Source organism: Homo sapiens, chromosome 3, assembly GCF_000001405.40.
Source record: "Homo sapiens chromosome 3, GRCh38.p14 Primary Assembly".
In the NCBI taxonomy this organism is placed as follows: domain Eukaryota; kingdom Metazoa; phylum Chordata; class Mammalia; order Primates; family Hominidae; genus Homo; species Homo sapiens.
In genome coordinates this window covers 62,383,561-62,400,596 of record NC_000003.12, presented here as the reverse complement: position 1 = coordinate 62,400,596, position 17,036 = coordinate 62,383,561, and the positions used below count along the sequence as shown (strand labels likewise).

Below are 17,036 nucleotides of genomic sequence, written 5' to 3'. Positions count from 1 at the left end.
AAAAAAAGAAAGAATGATGGGAGTGGTGTTGACGTATGTTAGCATTCCTTGTCTTGCCCCTTTAGCAAGTTTCCTATATCAATAGGAGAAACAAACAGCAGAATCAGTAGCTGAAATGATATGCAGTGTGATGAGGAGAGTTGTAGTTAGAGACCTTTTAAAAAAACAAAAAAAAAATTACAAAGTAGACAACAGCCAGATGCTTCTGGTCATATTCAATTAACACTGAAGGATTTCTAGAAAAACAGTCCTTGAGATACCTAAGGAAATCTGAGAGAAACTGCCTGAAGGAACAAAGAAAGAACTTGTGGTGCAGTAATACCAAGCCATTGTTCTTGAAAAAGAGCCAAATTTCTTCCCTGAGACCATAAAGTTGTGAACAGAATAGATACAGTTCTTTCCCAAGGAGAGAAGAAATGAGTCACATGTCTGCAACATATTGATGAGGCATTAGCGCTCCATCTTTCTCATAATTGCCACTGCCTGTAATAGGTTTCATATACCAACATACATATGTCTGTCTTATGAATGAGACAGAGGGATATCAGTACAGCTTATGCAGTTACAAGACTCAAAAATACTAAAACAAGACTGCAACAGAAATCACAAAATACCATAATCACTCAATCCATTATTTATATATTATAGCCCCTTCCTGTGTCTATCATATTACATTACACTAACCTAAGAGAAAGAACCAGTCCACAAAAAGGAACCAAAACAATTATGGAACATTTCCCTTTATGGAACTGAATAAACACAAGCTTATGTTCTTTGCTTTGTCTCATCTAATATAGTTTATCCTGTCACTATTTCTCATTTTCTGTCATTCAAAGGATCTCAGTTTTCAATACAAGTGAAATCTAAGCACAGTGGCTTTTTATTTGACAATGCATAAAGTGTGATATTTAGCTGAAGGTCAGTGCTCTCCCACCCACACCTGCTTTTACCTTCTCCCTCCCCATCATGGAGATGAGATCTCTCTTATCACTGTATCTTTTCCTTCCTTAGAAAACCTACAGAGATTTCCGATTGCAAGGGGTCCTGGACTCCACCTTAAACAGCAAGACCTATGAAACGATCCGGAACCGTCTCACTGTGGAGGAAGCCACAGCATCAGTGAGTGAAGGTGGGGGACTGCAGGGCATCAGCATGAAGGACAGCGATGAGGAAGACGAAGAAGACGATTAGACCATTTGGTCCTAGAGTCTGCTGGGACAGAGTCCTGTAATCAGTGCATGTCCTTAGTCTGTTAGTTAAACCCATTAGGAATTTTCTGTCAACTACCATGCCCATGAGATGTTTATCAATACAACTGCCATTTTAGCTATGTGGTACCAAGATTAGCAAATGACCTTCATATCCACTGATTTCCTGATGTCCATGTCTATATGTTTACAAGCAATATGGAGCACCATTCTTTAAATACTGTTCATGGAGAATACATAGTCTAACCACTAGGCGTGTCCCTGTTATCAGCAAAGATCAATGATGCTTCATTCATGTACTATGTATGCATTGGTGGTAAATGGATGTGAGGGCAAGTACATCAAGTACATTCACTCTGTTTCACGTATGTGGATGCCAGTTAATTAAATGAGTACGTAAATAAATTAATTAAAACACATAGATCTGCTTTGTGTTTTTATTTTTATTTTTTGAAAAACAAAAGGCAAGTCTCCAACAATTAACTTTTGATGCTTTCTGTTCCCCTAAAACCAAAAAATGAACCCCTTGTGTCGTTGTTAACCCATCCTTTCATTTACTCATATAATTAGCCAAAAAAAAAAGGATGGCTACATACCAATGGATTGATTCTCTTAATTGCCACGGCAAGGGGGCGATCCTATCATGACTTAACATCAAGCGCGCAGTTCAAAACTACTGTCTTCTGTCAAAGTTTTCTCCTCTTAAATGTTATTTTGCTTTTACGTCTCAACTGTGTATGTAAAAAAAATGAATATTTAAATTACAACCCTAGACTAAAAATGTGTTTATAATAAGATGTGGATATTTCCTTCAGTAGATTGTAACCATAATTTAAATTATTTTGTTCCACACTGTTTTTTATATCTGTCATGTACATTGCATTTTGATCTGTAACTGCACAACCCTGGGGTTTGCTGCAGAGCTATTTCTTTCCATGTAAAGTAGTGGATCCATCTTGCTTTTGCCTTATATAAAGCCTACAGTTATGGAAGTGTGGAAAACTGTGGCTTCTCAATAAATATTCAGATGTCCTAAGAATATACGTTTGGGTCTGTCTTCCTCTGTCTACTTTGAATGCCAGAACTGAAACACAACAAGAAGAAATAGGAAAGGGGAGGGAAGAGGTAATTTTTGTAGAGTGTTCTTGAAACTGTTGGAGTGGGTCGTTTTCAAATGCTCGTAGTTCTCCATGAGAGACTGCCTAAAATTCCGTTAATTCAGACTCCACTAATTCAGAACCCGTGGGCATTTGGACATGTTGGACAGATTACACTTGCATTATAGGATAAATAAGGGTTTGCTAAGCAAGTAAGTAGTGTAAACGAGAGAAATGTTTCTCCTGTACGAAGAGAAGGCCAACAAACTGTTTTTAAGCACCACTTTAACAGCAGTGTTTGCATTCAAACAAAGTGTGTGCCAATTATATATGATTCTTATATATTTGTTAAAGCATTTTAAAAGATTCCCTAAGATATGGAGTAGTCTACTTGCTCCTCAGGCCCTGTCAGCAATATAATCACCTAGGTTTGTAAGAAATTAAACATTTTGTAGCCTTGTTTGCTTTATTTGCATCTGTCACTAAACCAGGCTGATCTTTCCTGGAAGCTGACTGAGGCTTTAGGGAAACAGCTACTTTTCCAATAGGACCAGGTAGAACGGTCGCCAGTTGTCCTCTACAAAACAACCACTTTAGACAACATGTCTTGCTCTGCTTACTTGAGGCCTGCAGGTACAAGGCAACAGTACTTTCTGCCTTTGTGGGCTTACAAAAAGAGGTCCTATTTATTGAGCAACTATGCTATGCCAGGCATTCTGCATGTATTACCTCATTTAAATCTCACAACCACCATAAGAGGAGAGAACTATTGTTATCCTCATTATAGATTAGGAAATTAAGTTCAAAAGGGTTGCGCTAACTTGCCCAATAGTTAACTCTATGCAGAAGCATTAATCCAGAAATTAGAGAATAAAACTATTAATACAAATGGTGGGGATATGTCTTTCAGGTATGACAAAACTTTGATTGCCCAGGGATAGACAGTTAAGTCAGAATGGCACAGCCAAGATTTTTTAAAACATATTTTTATTATATTTTGAGTTGCAAAATGAAATCATATATCTTGTAACAATTAAAATTTTTTTATCTTTTTTTTTTTTTTTTGAGATGGAGTCTCTCTCTGTCGCCAGGCTAGAGTGCAGTGGCGCGATCTCCACTCACCGCAACCTCCACCTCCCAGGTTCAAGCGATTATCTTGCCTCAGCCTCCCAAGTAGCTGGAACTACAGGTGTGTGCCACCATGCCCAGCTAATTTGTGTATTTTTAGTAGAGACGGGGTTTCACTATGTTAGCCAGACTGGTCTCAAACTCCTGACCTTGTGATCAGCCCACATCGGCCCCAAAGTGCTGAGATTATAGGTGTGAGCCACCGCACCCGGCCTACAATTTTAAAACATGCAAAGTAAAGAGGGAATGTCTGTCTAGTGTGTGAAAGTTAGCAAAAGAACGAAAATGTTCAGGAGCCCTGGAGGAAGGCTAAGTGAATGGGTTAGATAACTAACCAAAGGGCACGATGTAAAAGTCATGAGGAAAACTAAGCCAGAAAAGACTTTGTCTCCAAAACCAAGGTTAAATTTAAAAATTCCTTCAAAAAAAGATTCCACTGCCTTGCACTGAGGATCCTGTAAAATAGTACCCCCAGCAACCCTAGGAAAGGGGTTATGGGTAAGGAAATGACATCAGAACACATCAGAAAGCACCGACCATGTTATCCTTGACCACTGCTGGCCTCAGTTTATTCTGACCACAAATGCAAAGTCAAGAAGACAGCTTTGATGTTCCTTTTTGTTTCTTTGGGATGGTATCTTGAGTGATCGTCTTTTTTCTTTTTTAGTTTTTTATTATACATACAGAAAAGTGCATGAATTCTAAGCCTACAGCTCAATGATTTATCCTAAAGTGAACACACTCATGGAACAACTACCTAGCTGAGAAATAGAACATACTGAAGACCCCCGAGGACCCTATGTCCATGCCCTTTCCCAAACTCTACCCACTCCTTACACCCCAAAGGTAACCACCATCTGATTTCTAATGGCATAGAATACCAACTTGCCTATTTTAACCTTTTTGTCATTGCAATCACAGTACATATTCTTTCGTGTCTGGATTCTTTTACGCTACATTACATTGTTGGTGTAATTTTGGTTCATTTATTTTCATTGCTGTATAGTAGTCCAAGGTATAAATAGACCATAATTGATTTATCCATATAAAAATGTTGTTTTACATTTTCGACTATTATGAATAATGCTGCCATGAATTTCCTTGTACATATGTTTTGGTGCAATTGCTGGGTCCTGGAGTAAAGGTATTTTCCTTTTCAGAAGATGTGGCCAGTTTTCCACAGAGGATGAACAAAGTTATGCTCACACCAGCAGCAAGTTAAAGTCTCCGTTGTTCCACATTTTTGACAACATTAAGTGTTGTCACTCTAATTTTTGCCATTCTGGTAAGTGCTGTGGTGGTTTATAATTGTAGTTCACTAGTTACCAAATGAAGTTGATTGCCTTTGAACATGTGTATTGGTAATTTAGCTAGCCTCTTTTGTGAAGTGCCAGTTTAAGTCTTTTTAAAACATGCAAAGTAAAAGAGGGAGCATCTGTCCAGTGTATAAAAGTTAGCACAAGTAGGAAAATGTTCAGGAGCCCTGGAGGAGAGCTAAGTACATTTTTTATTTAGATAGCCTCTTTTGTGAAGTGCCTGTTTAAGTCTTTTTTTTTCTTTTTTTTTTTTTTTTAATAAGTGGAAAAATTTAGAGCTATTTGAAGGCTGATAAGGAAGAGACCACAGGAAAAAGTGCCAGTTAGATGTAGGAACTATCAAGGAAATTGTGAACCTGATAGGCGTTCACTTTATGAACAATTGGTCCACAAATACTTGAGTACATACTGGTCAGGCAGGCACTGTGCTAGGAACACCTGGATTCTTTCTATTCCATTTCCCTTCATTAGCCAGAGAGACCTTTCTAAAGGCAAGTGTGATCCCGTTCCTCCTCTAATTAAAAGCCTCCAATTGTTCTCCTCTCCTTAGAATGAAACCCAAATTCCTTAAGGTGGCATTCAAGGCCATGAACAATCCAACCCTTGCCTACTTCTCCAGCCTCTTCTGTTAACTCTACTCCTCTTATTCCCAGGGTTCATCCACACCCACCACCTTCAACTTCCTGCTGTGCACCGTAGTTCTTCCCACCTGGGGCCCACCTCCGAACAACCTCATCTCATCCATCAAATCCCCACTAAACTGGATCTCCCCAAGGAAGCCTTTCCAAACACCACCCTCAGTTCAGCATCTATTTCCTTAGTATATATCCTCATAACAGTATCTACTTCTCCTTCTTAGCATTCACACTACTCCTGAATGGGTTATGTACACTGTTACATGTTTCATATATCTTTTCTCTACTTCAGGAGGGTACAGGCTATACCAGCTTCCCCACTCTGTCCCCAAGGTACTCAATAAATATATGACTAATAATGAAGGCTGAAAGTACAAGGATGGAGATGATCTGTTGCTATTCTCGTAGAACTTATAGTATAGGTAGTATGAATCTTCCAAAGACACAAACTAAATATTATAAGACTCAGAGGAGGGAGAAGGAAAGGAAGGCTTCCTTGAGGAGATGGGCCTTAAAGAGCCCATAAAGAGGATTGGGAAGGACAAGAACAAGACCATGGGGAGGCCAGGGGATGTGCCACTTGGCTGGAACATAGAAATGGGAAACTATTCTCTTCTCTGGTGGATTCCCAGTGCATATAGTAAACACTCAACATATACATGTTAACTTAAGACATTAATGAATATGCCCAGTGTGTTAAGAGAGCCTGCTTCGTGGGAAGGCTTAGGCAAGAGGTTGGGAGAGATTGTCATGGGAAGAGTAGATTGAAGTGTCAAAGGAGGACATTTAGTTCCACTTAGTTTGGGTTTGTTGGTCTGCATAGCCAAGAACTAACTACTATTTTTAATTTTTTCAAAACATTTAAAGAAATTTTTTAAGTTAAAAAAAATCAAATAGAACAGAATTATATGAAACAAAACGTTCAAGCCTCCCCCCCCCAACACCCATTTCCCCAAAGTAGCCATTGCTAACAGATGGGCATATATTCTTCCAAATATGTTCAAATCATATACAAGTATATTGGAGATTTTATATATATATAAATGATCCCAATATATAAATGAGAATCATCCTGAGCCTACTATTTGGCAAATCACATTTTCCATTTATCAGTATAGATAGGATCATTTGTACCTCTGCACATATAGACTTTCCATATAGACCATATAGACCACATATAGACCAGTACTTTGGTAATGGGTGTAATGTATTTAAGGAGATTTTCTGGTCAAAGAAGAAACAGGAGCAAAATAAGATAAACTGAAAATCTAGGATGAAATTAGGATGGATCAAAACATAATGGAGGAAATGAGCCATCTGTGGAAGTGACCCAAAAGACTGTTTGAAAATGTGTGACTAAAGAATTTCTGAAACACCCCAAATCCAATCCCAGTCTAACTGCACTATATCACAGTTATCTGTTTATGTGTCTGTCTCCCTGCTAGACTACTGCCAACTAGTTGAGGTCAGGCACTGTGTATCCATTTCTGTATGCCAGTCTGGTGCCTTGCATGTAGTAGGCACTCAATAAATGTTGGTTGAATTGAATGGGTGCACATCAGCAATATACACCTGAGTATGATCATGACCAAGAAAACATAAACTAAATTTATTGCAATATATTCTGTCTATAAAGAAGGAATTACAAAGAAGATGGGGAATCACGATGGCTTTAGAAAATCTATTGACCTCACCTGAATTTTCAATGCAGGTATGAACAACCATACTGTCATAAATTTGAATTTCTATAAAAATTTTAGGAAATCAACAAAACTACAAGAGTTGTATGACTAGTGTTTAAGCACAAAATTGAATAAGTTCATTTCCTTTAAATTTTAAAATTTAAAATAAGTGTGTTCTCTTTGTGGCTAACTTAGACACATAATTAACAAGTCTGAAATTAAGTCAAATGAGGCACAATTCTGTAATTCTTGGTAAACAAATTTTTAAAAATCAATATTCATCTTTTATTCAAGGTTGTTTTGCTTCTTCATTTAAATACTAAAATTATCATCTGTTTTCCTTCTTATGAAACCATGCATTTCATCTAAAGTTGTAAATCAGCATTTGTTGTAACTAAGCAAAACATGAGAAAAGGGCTGACGATGGTGCAATCTGCCAGCAGAGTTCTCTACCCTGACAGTACATTGAAGGTCAAAGAAAAACACTGAACAACAAATTAATCACAGCCACCAGCTAACGGAGGGATAAAACGATTACAATTAATACATACACACAACTACAAATTAAGAGGAATGCAAAGGCGACAAGCAAAAAGTACACAAATAAAATTTTTCTTATTTCCTAAGAATTGATGGTGAGATGGCCAAAAGCAATTGTAAACATGGTTCAGTTGGCATATTTCCCTCTGTCCATCAAAAACAAGTTGGCTTGTTTCCTGGGCAGTGAATACAATTGCAAAGAATAAACAAGGCTTTGCTTAAAGCAGGAAACATGTGATTAAAGATAGTACAAATTTCAGAGAAAGTGTCAGAAATTTTGGAACGTGTTTAAAAGAAAATCAAAGGCAACATAAGAAGACAAATACTGGTGGTATTTGGTGCAATGAAAAGTACAGTTTATGTGGAAGCTATGGCTAGGTTTCAAATTCTAATGTCACTACATTGTAAACAGGACCACTGAACTATGCACCTCACTCAGTCGCCTCCAACACCTCCTGGAATAGGGTTTTGAGCATGAAAAATTCCTCCATAGTATTTTTTGGTTCAATTAGTCTAACTTTGAATAAAATTTTTAAAATAAGACATCAAGATTATAGATTAAAAATTCCAGGGCATATGAAGGGTACTGACATCACAATGTATTTGGAAAATCTGAACTCTTCCGAGCCCTAATTAAATGACAATTAATAAACTTCAGGTTGCATCTACTCTTTGTCATCTTCAAACTTCCGTAACAAGGCTGCTATACACACAGTCTTGGGTTAATATTCTCTTGGAGAGCACAAGGAAAAGTTGGTGCTGTCCTAGGGAAGAAACTTTCACAAAGTGAACTGAGGGCAGAGGTGGAACTAGAGACTTAGGAGTTGATCTTGAAACAAGCACTCATTCCTCTCCCAGTAAATTAGAGAAAGATGATCTCTGAGAATAAGGAGGGCTAGATCTTGTTATTACAAAGGATGGAGCTCAAACCACTCTATTTAAAATATTGAAGTAAAGATGAAAGCAAGAGACCACAGGATTTGTAGACCATTGGGCAACAGGTATCACAGGAGTGAATAGAAGGAAGAGGTTGTGAGCATAGGTTCTCATAGGTTCTGGGGTCAGGATGACCTTGATCCAGATTTCAGATGATCAGTGGTAATCATTAGCCACATGACCTTGGGAAAATTACTTCATTTCCCTAGGCCTCAGTTATCTCATCTGTAAGATATAAATAGAATCATACCCTAGGTATTACCCATTGTTATAAGCTCATCAGGTTGTCATCAAGATTAAATGTATTTCTATGTGTGAAGTGCTAAAAAAAAAAAAAAGGCACACATGCTAAGTGCTCAACAAATGTTAGCTAATATTTTACTGTTAATTTCTTTCTCTTTTTTTTTTTTTTTCTTGAGACAGAGTCTCACTCTGTTGCCCAGGTTGGAGTGCAGTGGCATGATCTCAGCTCACTGCAAACTCTGCCTCCCAGATTTAAGTGATTCTCCTGCCTCAGCCTCCCAAGTACCTGTGATTACAGGTGCCCTCCACCATGCTTGTCTAATTTTGTATTTTTAGTAGAGATGGGGTTTCACCATGTTGATCAGGCTGGTCTCAAACTCCTGACCTAAAGTGATCCACCTGCCTGGCTCCCGAAGTGTTGGGATTACAGGCGTGAGCCACTGCGCCTGGCCTACTGTTAATTTCTTAAGGATTTAAGAGCCTGCCACATGTTTCAGGCTTTGAACAGATGATAGATATGGCCAAGTCACTACGCTTAGAAAGCTGAATTCTGCTACTCACCGTTCTTATTCCATTTCTTCCCAAAGGAACAGCACATGATCAGTGGTGGATTGGGCAGCAATGTGTTAAGCAGTGTCAAGAAAGGTATTCTTGCTACCCACTTCATTTTTTAGCGTTTGCTTTTATGCCTTGAAAGGGAAGCATTTGTTCCCCTTGTCTACATTTCTTCACATTCTCCTTTACTTGTCTTTGACTATGGATCTCAGTAAATAATTATTAAAGGAATGAATAAATAAATGAGTTTCTTTCCATGTCTCCCCTTCTTCATCATCACTGCTTTCATTTGTGTTTCCCTAGAAATAGACCCTAAGAAAAGAATTCTAGTGCAAGTGGTTTACTTGGGAGGTGATCCAGGAAACACTAATAGAGGAATGGGGGAAAAAGATTGAGAAGCAAGGCAGCCACTATGGGTAACTGAAGTTTGATTGCTCTGGGAAAATCTGGGAGCCAGGGTAGAACATACTTTTCAGTTATTCCTCCTGAGGAGTGAGAGAGCTGGGGTATTTATACTCCAACTCTTTTTCATTATTGGTTGAGGACAGATTGGGGGAGAGGGCAGGCAATGTTAATTTTCCAGCATTTCAGACTTGCAGGGCAGATGGGCAAAGCAGACTCTGATCATCACAGAAAGCCCTAAGACAAATAAGTACAAGAACAGCAATGGTAAGTCAAGCCCAGTTGCAATGAAGTGGTAACAGAGGTGGGCAGGACACCAACATTATCTGCTACAATCACCCTTTTGCAACCCAGGACAGAGTCTGTGGTCAATGTTGGCCTAAGAACAGCAAGACAGAATTAGCAGTTCTACTGCCAGAAGCATTGCCTGGCCAGGCTGGATTTGGAAGACTCTCTAGGGTGGTGAAATAAATTCCAGCCTTCAATACAGTGGAATACAATGGAGCCAGGAAAAAGAACAAAGTAGATCTATATGCACTGGTACTGAAAAATGTTCAAGATATATTGCTGATATTTCATTAAGTTAAAAAAAAATCAAGAGGCAGACCAGCATTTAAAGAACTCTCCCATTTGTTTAAAAAAAAAATAAGCAAATCTATTTATGTGTGTGTATTTTTTTTTTCAATAAATCAAATGAACAGTTATCATTTTGGCTTCCCAGAATCCAAATCCATGGAAACTGAAGAGGAAGGGATGTTCCCTCTCCCTGCCCCTGACAACTAGAATGTGCCTAATAACCAGATGCTCTAGCTCAGAATCTTGACTCTTGAGAGAAGGACCAAAAGGCATGGCAGCATTGAAGGACTTTTCCTGGGCCTCGGGATCACTGAGGGGCATCCGGAGACTGGTGAGTGGGCCCAGCAGCAGCAGCCCAAGCAGAATTGCCCTATGGTTGCTTTTGGCTGTGCCTCACATCACTGTTCCATTGGTTCCTGATGGAGCCTGTGTCCCAGCCTTCAGCCGATTCTGGGAGCTACTGTGTAACCTCCTTTTCTGCTGTCAAGTTCTACTGTTGAGAACTGAGAGCAATGGCTGATGTAGGAAAAAAATTTAGAAGAAACTAGTAAGAGTGCTTATCTCTGGGAAAGGGGATGGCAAAATTCAGATGGAAAGGAGATTTATTTTTCAGTTCAATTTATTTTTAATGTTATTGTTTGATTATTTCAACCCTGTGCATTTACAATTCTTTCAAATTTAAGACATTTTAAAAGATTGCATTTTAAACAGCTTTGCTTTTAAAAAGTGTCCCGGTCGGGTGCAGTGGCTCATGCCTGTAATCCCGGCACTTTGGGAGGCTGAGGCGGGCGGATCACAGGGTCAGGAGTTCAAGACCAGCCTGGCCAACATAGTGAAACCCCGTCTCTACTAAAAATACAAAAATAAAATAGCTGAGCATGGTAGCGGGCGCCTGTAATCCCAGCTACTCGGGAGGCTGAGGCAGGAGAATCGCGTGAACCCGAGAGGCGGAGGTTGCAGTGAGCCGAGATCGTGCCACTGCACTCCAGCCTGGGTGACAGAGACTCCGTCTCAAAAAAGAAAAAAAAAAAGTGTTCCAATAAAGGTGGTACCCGGACAAGAAAAATGTAGAATTAAAGTGTAGTCCTAGCAACAGACACAGGATGGAAGGTTAAGTATCACCCTCTAACCTCTGCTCAGGTCCTCTTACAAAGAAGAGCTTCTTAACCTGAAGAGTTTGGCTAGGACTCAAGAGGTTCGTGAGCTTAAATGGGGGTGGAGATAGGAGGCAGCAACCTACAGTAGCATTTGTAGTATTTGTGACTCTGTGACCAATGGAAATCAGATATTTTCCTATCACATTACAGTTGTTATGATTTCTGAGTGATAAGTGCTTCTAAATTACCTTAATTATTAGATCTGCCACTAGATCTTGTTTCATGCATTAGGAAAGACGCATACCAAAGAGATATCTGCGCTCCCTTGTTTATTGTAGCATTATTCACAAAAACTAACGTATGGAATCCACCTTAGTGCCCAGCAATAGATAAATGGATAAAGAAAATTGGTGTCTATATAAATGGAAGACTACTTAGCCTTTGAAAAAAAGGAAATTCTGTCATTTGCAACAGCATGGATGAACTCAGAGGATATTATGCTAAATGAAATAAGCCAGGCACAGAAAGACAAATACTGTGTGATCTCACTTATGTGTGGAATCTAAAAAAGTCAAATTCATGGAAGCAGAGAGTAGAGCAATGGTTACCAGGAACAAGGGGTAGGGGATGCAGACAGATGTTAGTCAAAGGGTACAGAGTTTCAGTTAGGCAACATGAATAAGTTTAAAATCTAATTTAAAAAAAAAAAGAGGGGCTGGGCACGGTGGCTCACGCCTATAATCCCAGCACTTTGGGAGGCTGAGGCAGGCGGATCACCTGAGGTCAGGAGTTCGAGACCAGTCTCAACATGGAGAAACCCCACCTCTACTAAAAAAAAAAAAAAAATACAAAATTAGCTGGGCGTAGTAGTGCATGCCTGTAATCTCAGCTACTCGGGAGGCTGAGGCAGGAGAATTGCTTGAACCTGGGAGGTGGAGGTCATGGTGAGCCGAGATCGAGCCATTGCACTCCGGCCTGGGCAACAAGAGTGAAACTCCATCTCAAAAAAAAAAAAAGAAAGAAAGAAAGAAGCATATATATCACTGTATCACACATTTATTTTTTAATATTTTGATTAATAACTACATTATTAATATGATTGATATCTTTTAGAAGCCTACATATTTTATCTTATTCATTTAAAAGCATTATTCTGGGCAAGGCATGGTGGCTCACACCTGTAATTCCATGACTTTGGGAGGCTGAGACAGGAGGATCACTTGAGGCCAGGAGTTGAAGACAACCCTGGTCAGCATAGCATGACCCCATTTCTACAAAAAAATTTACAAATTAGCCTGGTGTGGTGGCATACACCTGTAGTCTCAGCTATGTGGGAGGCTGAGGTGGGAAGATTGCTTGAGCCCAGGAGTTTGAGGCTGCAACAAGCTAAGATTGCATCATTGCACTGAGCAACAAAGTGAGACCCTGTCTCTATAAAATAATAATAACAAATTTTTAAAAAATGAAAGCATTATTCTGAGAAGGGGTCCACAGGCTTACCAGACTACCAGTGGGGTCCATGGTGCAGTGCCTGTGTGCACACACACAGAAAACTTGAGAACTTCTGCCAAAGCTCTTCATCTTTCTCTTCCTCATCTCGCTTTTTGCTTTGTCCATTTACTCTTATCCTAATTTATTTACCTATAAAGTAGCAATAGTGTCCTTTTCTTTTTTTTGTACAAAGAACATAAGCTGTATGCTTTTACTTTCTTTGTTTGTTTGTTTTTAGCAACAGGTCTCACTCTGTCACCCAGGCTGGAGTGCAGCAGTGCGACCATAGCTGACTGCAGCCTCAAACTCTGGGCTCAAGAGATCCCCCTATCTCAGCCTCCCAGGTAGCTAGGATTACAGGTGTATTCACTGTGTCTGGCCTACTTTTACTTTTTTGAAAGAAAGTCAAACCATCAAACCGGCCAAGCAATTCAACAAATGATAGTCTCTAGTTTATTGTTTGAGGATATTAATAGGTCATATTTTTGTGTTTCTTGGCAGGATGAAACTGTGATTGGATGAAATTAGTGGTTATGAGCAAGGAGGGGGGCAGGGTGGTCTCAACTGGCTAGCTATGAGTTTCCACTCTGCCATTCAAATAAACATGTGGCCTTAGACTAATCACTAATACCCACCAAACCTCATTTACTTCGTCTGAAGAGGAGGATAACCAGTCCACCTGCTTTATAGGTTCACATTGTTGATACAATAATAACAATCATTGTACATAATTACCATACCCACAGGTGCAGAAACCAGTAACAGTGATTGTCTCTGTGGAAAGACAGTAGAGATTTGGGGTGGAAGGGAGACCTGATTTTCACTACATATTATATTACATTGTTTGAATTCAATTAGGGTTAGCGATTTTTATTATTGCATCCAAAAAAAAAGTGAGGAAACACAAAACTTTAATCTACTAATAGCTCCATAGTTGATCAGTATTCATTTATTTACTTCTTTATGCTAAGTGAAAACTTAATTTCATCTACAAACAGAAATCAAAAGAGAATACCTACCACAGCAAACTCTGTTAAATAAGCCGATGCTCAAAGTTAATTAAACGATGGGGGCTTGCTCAGCTTTCCTTTGATTCTCCCAGCAAGCCCTTATTCATAGAATGTTAAGTTTCTCCTGTACATTACTTTGTACCACTTCCGCTCCCAAGGAAATTGTGGAGGTATGGGTGGGAGTGAGAAGAACCTCTAAAGGAATTCTTTATTATGGAAATAAAATAGATATTTTCTTAATATTCAAGGGACAGTCTGGGAAGACTTCCTTCTCTTCGGTTAAAAACTAGGCACCTCTTAAAATATTAGTAAGGGCCAGGCGCGGTAGCTCACACCTGTAATCCCAGCACTTTGGGAGGCCGAGGCAGGTGGATCACTTGAGGTCAAAGACCAGCCTGGCCAACATGGTGAAACCCCATCCCTACTAAAAATACAAAAATCAGCCGGGCATGGTGGCGGGCACCTGTAGTCCCAGCTAGTCGCACCACTGTATTCCAGCCTGGGCAGCCGAGCGAGACTCCATCTCAAAAAAGAAAAAGGAAAAAAATAAAAATAAAAAAAAAATATTAGTAAGGAGAATGAAAGCACCAGCATACACATTCTGGAACCGAAGAAAATGGAAAGTCAGTCAGCCTGTTAGCCACCAACAGTGACTAAAAATTTTGATTTGCACTGAGCATTGTCTACAGGACTGTGGGGAAAAGGTCTATGTATTTAAACTAACATGAAGTTTGTCCTGTCCTTCGACACTGAACATGCATGTGGGGAAAAAAACAGCTGTACAAAATACACTGCTATAAGCTGAGTGCAAGGGTGCACATGCCAGAAATATAAAGAAAAGAGAGCAAAATTCTTTGAGTCATTTGATTCATCAACAAACCAAGCATAACTTGGTGATGAATGTGACTGCAAGGACCCAGGTGATGAATGTGACTGCAAGGACCAAAGCTGAACAAGACAGACCCCTGTTCTCCAGGAGTCCACAGGCCAGGGGGCCTAAACGGCAAAGTTTTATTCCCAAAGGAATGTTCAAAAGGGGTGGTGGAAAGAAGGACAGCATCCTAAGAAGTGAGTCTTTAAAATCGCCAACACCACACGGATGCTGTCAGCAAAATATAGACTGTGGGAAACTCTACATGACAAACATCCTGATTTTCTCAAAAAGTAAATTGCAAGGACAAAAAATAAAATAAAAAATAAATAAATAAATGGAGAGAAGTCTATAAATTATAAGAGATTTAAAAGGCAGAACAACCAATCATAATATACGAACATTATCTGGACCATAAAGAAAGGATTTTTTAATTATGACATTTATTTTAAAAATTGGAAATGTGAGCATATTTGATGATGTCAAAGAATTATCGTATTTTAGGTGATGGTCTTTAAATAATGTATGGATAACAAAGTATTATGTCTGGGGCTTGCTTTAAAATAATATGAGGAGGAAATAGATAGGTATGTAAATGAATCAGGATTGGCCATGGATTGATCTTATTGGGGCTGGGTGATGGTATATGGGTTCATGATATTACTCTGTGCTTCTTTTGTGTATATATAAAATTCCTCAAAATAAGATTTGGTTATTTTTAAATCACAACAAGAGATAGAGCAGAAATCAGAGAAGCAACTACAAGCATGCAGTTCTCTGGCTGGATGAGAGCTCAAATTCAGCACAAAAGTCTAGCTCGTGCAGGTAAATAATCCTCCTCTTTGTACCTTCTCTTCTATTTGTGGGGTATGGCCAGGACCCCTCTTCTCATTTCTAGTACTTCCTTTGGCTGGAGCTTCTGATTCTTTTTCTAGGCATGGTAGGCATGGTGAGAGGTTTGCACTGGCCCAGCAGTTCTCATGAGTGTCCTCCCTTTTGGCCAGCCAGGCTGCATTTGTAAAACATCTGGCCAAGGCCAGAACCTAATTGTTTGGGAGCCCTTTGGAAGAGGCACAGACCACCATGGCCTCATTAGCCCCAGGCTCCTGCTCACTGGGCTCAAGTTCAGGTGGCCAGATGAGCACCCACAAGCAAGCTGTAGAACAGAAGGTCTAGAAAGTGTAGAGGAGGCTGGGCGCGGTGGCTCACGCCTGTAATCCCAGCACTTTGGGAGGCCAAGGTGGGCGGATCATGAGGTCAGGAAATCGAGACCATCCTGGCTAACATGGTATAAACCCCGTCTCTACTAAAAATACAAAAAATTAGCCAGGCGTGGTGGTGGGCACCTGTAGTCCCAGCTACTCGGGAGGCTGAGGTAGGAGAATGGCGTGAACCCGGGAGGCGGAGCTTGCAGTGAGCCCAGATCACCCCACTGCATTCCAGCCTGGGCAACAGAGTGAGACTCCGTCTCAAAAAAAAAAAAAAAAAGAAAAAACTAAAGTGTAGAGGAGCCAGACACGGTGGCTCAAGCCTGTAATCCTAGCACTTTGCGAGGCCAAGGCAGGGGGATCACTGGAGGTCAGGAGTTCAAGACCAGCCTGGCCAACATGGTGAAACCCTATTTCTACTAAAAATACAAAAATCAGCTTGGTGTGGTGGCACACACCTGTAATCCCAGTTACTCGGGAGGCTGAGGCAGGAGAATTGCTTGAACCTGGGAGGCGGAGGTTGCAGTGAGTTGAGATCGTACCACTGCACTCCAGCCTGGGCAACAGAGGGAGACTCTGTCAGAAAGAAAAGAAAAGAAAAGAAAGAAAATAGGAAGGAAGGAAGGAAGGAAGGAAGGAAGGAAGGAAGGGTGGGTAGAGGGTTAGCAGCCCATTTTCTGACTACGGGGTTCTCAAGAGCAGGGAAGAGAAGGCTACTCAAGAAAATGTTCAAAGCCTAAAGTAATCTGGAAACATCTGCATGCCAAAAGGGATGTGACACGGGTCTCCTTTTTCTCTGGATGCTTCTCTCTCTGGATGCTTCTCTCTCTGGATGCTTCTCTCTCTGGATGTCTTTTCCCACATGTCTTCCTCTTTTCTATTACCTAGGTCTGCACCGTTCTTTCTACATTCTAAGTTCTCTGTAATTTGGCACCCAAGTCTGCCCTGGGTAAGAATATATGGGCATAAACAGCAATAAGATACCATTTGGAGTCTATCAAATTGGTAAGGAATTTTTTTTTTTTTTTTTTTTTTTTTTTG

General features: G+C 39.9%; 1 protein-coding gene across 50 annotated transcripts in view; it reads left to right on the top strand.

The window, feature by feature from the left end:
• CADPS (calcium dependent secretion activator) overlaps positions 1–2,249 on the top strand; it is a 477,069-nt gene extending 474,820 nt beyond the window's left edge. For all 50 annotated transcript variants that reach the window (NM_183393.3, NM_001438352.1, XM_011534199.3 and 47 more), the window contains one exon: positions 1,012–2,249. In NM_183393.3, coding sequence (NP_899630.1) covers positions 1,012–1,191 — 180 coding nt within the window. In that variant the 3' untranslated portion in view covers positions 1,192–2,249. The remainder of the gene's footprint in view (positions 1–1,011) is intronic.